The sequence below is a fragment of the Homo sapiens genome, chromosome 2 (genome assembly GCF_000001405.40).
Source record: "Homo sapiens chromosome 2, GRCh38.p14 Primary Assembly".
Classification (NCBI taxonomy): Eukaryota; Metazoa; Chordata; class Mammalia; order Primates; family Hominidae; genus Homo; species Homo sapiens.
The window spans coordinates 207,007,914-207,010,649 of NC_000002.12; the positions used below are offsets into that span (position 1 = coordinate 207,007,914).

General features: G+C 38.6%; 1 annotated feature.

Annotated features, from left to right (window-relative positions):
* Window positions 252-546: a silencer, noted in NCBI's record as "tiled region #8398; K562 Repressive non-DNase unmatched - State 24:Quies". NCBI's record gives its function as "represses a minimal TATA promoter and a strong SV40 promoter by Sharpr-MPRA in K562 cells {active_cell/tissue: K562}" and the evidence as "EXISTENCE:reporter gene assay evidence [ECO:0000049][PMID:27701403]".

Below are 2,736 nucleotides of genomic sequence, written 5' to 3' on the forward strand. Positions count from 1 at the left end.
ATTTATGCATCCTGGCCTCAATCTCTTCTTCAGCAAAAGGGGATTAGGAATCCTATCTTGCAGTAGTGTTATGAAATACTGTGTGGGAAAGAACCTAGCATACAATAAATGCTTAATACATATCCATGTATTTGTAGCCTTCCTTTCAGAGGATGAAGGGTTGATTTACAAGCAAAACAGTATTAGGCAAAATTGTAAAGTATGAAAAAATGCTAGACCATTTTCTTCCCCATGCCTCTTCAAAGTCCAAGACTTTCTTTCCTCTTTTCATCATCAAAAATCAGCTCTCAGGAGAGGATGTGACATCAGTCCTTTGCCTCTCATTGTTAAGTTTACATCATCCCCTCCTTCATGTGCCTGGGGGGACTTCACATTCCAGGCCTTCTATGCAACAATAGAAAGAATGGCTTTGTTTCTGGTTAAAGGCTCAGTGTGCTGGTTAGAAGGAGGCTGTGCCTGGCAGGGTCCCTTCCTGGAACTCCTGAAATCCTCCCTATGAAAGTAGCTAATTCTCTTCTGTGCCTCCAAGTTAGTAGCTTAAAGCAAAAGAAAACACTATTTCACCATATCTAGTATATACTTGTCCCCAATTAGCCATCTGAAGCTTCTCTCTCTACCCTCCCCATCATCTACCCACCTCCCTGGCTGTGTGGTTTTATTTTGGATTTCAATTATTTTGTTATTAGTAGTAGTAATTCTCCATAAGAGACAAATAGGGGGAAGGGGAGTATTTGTCTATTATTTATTGCTGTTTAGGCTAAATGTCTGCAGGTTAATTAAATAGAAAAGTGTCCCCCCCGGGAATGTAGTAGGTCCCTAGTGGTCCAATAAGGTAATAAAACCATGGTGAAACTGAAAGCATTATTGCATGCTGCTTTATTCTCATCAGCAAAGACTTCCAAATACAAATGTAGTCAATTATTGGGTGATTCAGAACAGGAATTTTTGGAATTTAATTATGAAAGTGGTCTGTGTGGGCACTGCAGTCACTGATGGGCAAATGACTGGGAGCTGTCCAAGGGCCAGTGACCTGATGTCTTGACTAAGCACATTCACCCAGAAAGGGATGGTTGAACAAAGAATTCTGCTCTGGCTTTATCAAAGAAATTGTCTACCACTACAACAACCTCTCTTCAGTGTGTGTGTGTGTGTGTGTGTGTGTGTGTGTGTGTGTGTGTGTGTGTACCACCTCATTTTCTTTGTTCCTTCAGCCTCCCTCCATTAATTTGCTAAGTCCTCCTAAGGATCTTAAATTCCTCCAAACAATAGGACAGATATCTTCAGCATCTGAGCAACAATGAAATCAATAAAGACTTTGGAGGGGAGCAAGAAGAATGGTGTGTAGTAATGGCAATTATTCACTGAAAGCAATCTAACCCATTCTTAATTTAATTTGGAGTGCCATTATTTCAGGATTCCAAATGCTAAGGTCATTTTAATCATGCAGATCTCATGTCTTATCGAGTTGTGGCAGAGAATTACTCTTTTTTGTGACCCTGAGTTAGCAAGGACATACTGGGCAAACAGCCAAGGTGCAATACGCTCAATAATAATAATAATCTATACCTAAAGTTAGAGTGATGGTTATTAGCCATTGGCTATTCTGATAGGAGGAGTGTCACCTTTTCAGACCCTCTAGCTGGGTGACTTAGCACTTTCTTTAGTGAATGAAAAGCATCATCACATCAACTATCTTTCTTTCATGGGAGGAAAGAAGGCATAACACACATACTATAGAGAAAAGGTATAAAGTAACAAAATTTTTTATATGTAAAAGAGAAGTAGGTATAGGGGGAGGGGTTTGGGGGAGAAAAGGAAAATAATCTGACCTTGGAAAGAAGGGGAAAAAAACCTCTTTCCTGGGGGGTTTTCTTAGAGTGTAGGAAGAACCAGAGATTTATTTTGAACCCATTTCCTCGTCACAAAAAGAAAAAGAACTTGGAGATCTACTTCCTGTAAAAGAGCAAACAGATATTAAGTCCCAGGTCATTTTAGTCTGTAAGCAAGGTTTGTGTTCTCTTTTCTAATAGCTGTTGTTTGTTGAATTCAAATTGTATACAGGAAAGTTCGCAAGTCCTTTGCATATATTAACATTATTTAATTTTCACTGCAAAACCTGCAATATATATTTTCTTCATTTTATAGATGGGAAAAGTGAACCTTTAAGAGGAAATGTGTAATTTGTCCACAACTAGCAAGAGACAGAGCTGGAATTTTTCATTTAGAATTCCAAGCCTCCCACTTTTTATTCTGCGTCACCAGGATTTTTTCAACTTGCAGAGGTATTTTGTTGTTGCTGCTGTTTGTCTTAATGAAGAATTCAAATATGGCCTTCCAAAATATTTTTTTCTTGAGTTAAATAGGTTTCAAAGCTCTCAAAAAAGTACTGAAATATCTAATCATGTATTATCTCCTTTTCAGAGTGCTCTAAATAAGTTTGATTTTAAAGGCACAATTAGTTAAAATAGGCCTAAAAAGTTGGCGTGCACTTGATTTGGAAGCTAAGATTGGCACCCATGGTCTTAGCAATTAGCTATCATGAGAAAGTAGATGCTGAACCAGAGGACACTTGATGTGTCCTATCTTGGGCCAGCTTGTGCTAGAAGATTCTATGAATGGGTTGAAACCAGTTTGCTCTGTGATGTTGAAAGCCACTTACCTTCCCTGTGCCTCACTAGATAGTGATATTAGTAGAAATTTTGATCACTATCTCATTCTGCAAAAAGCTGCCAGGAC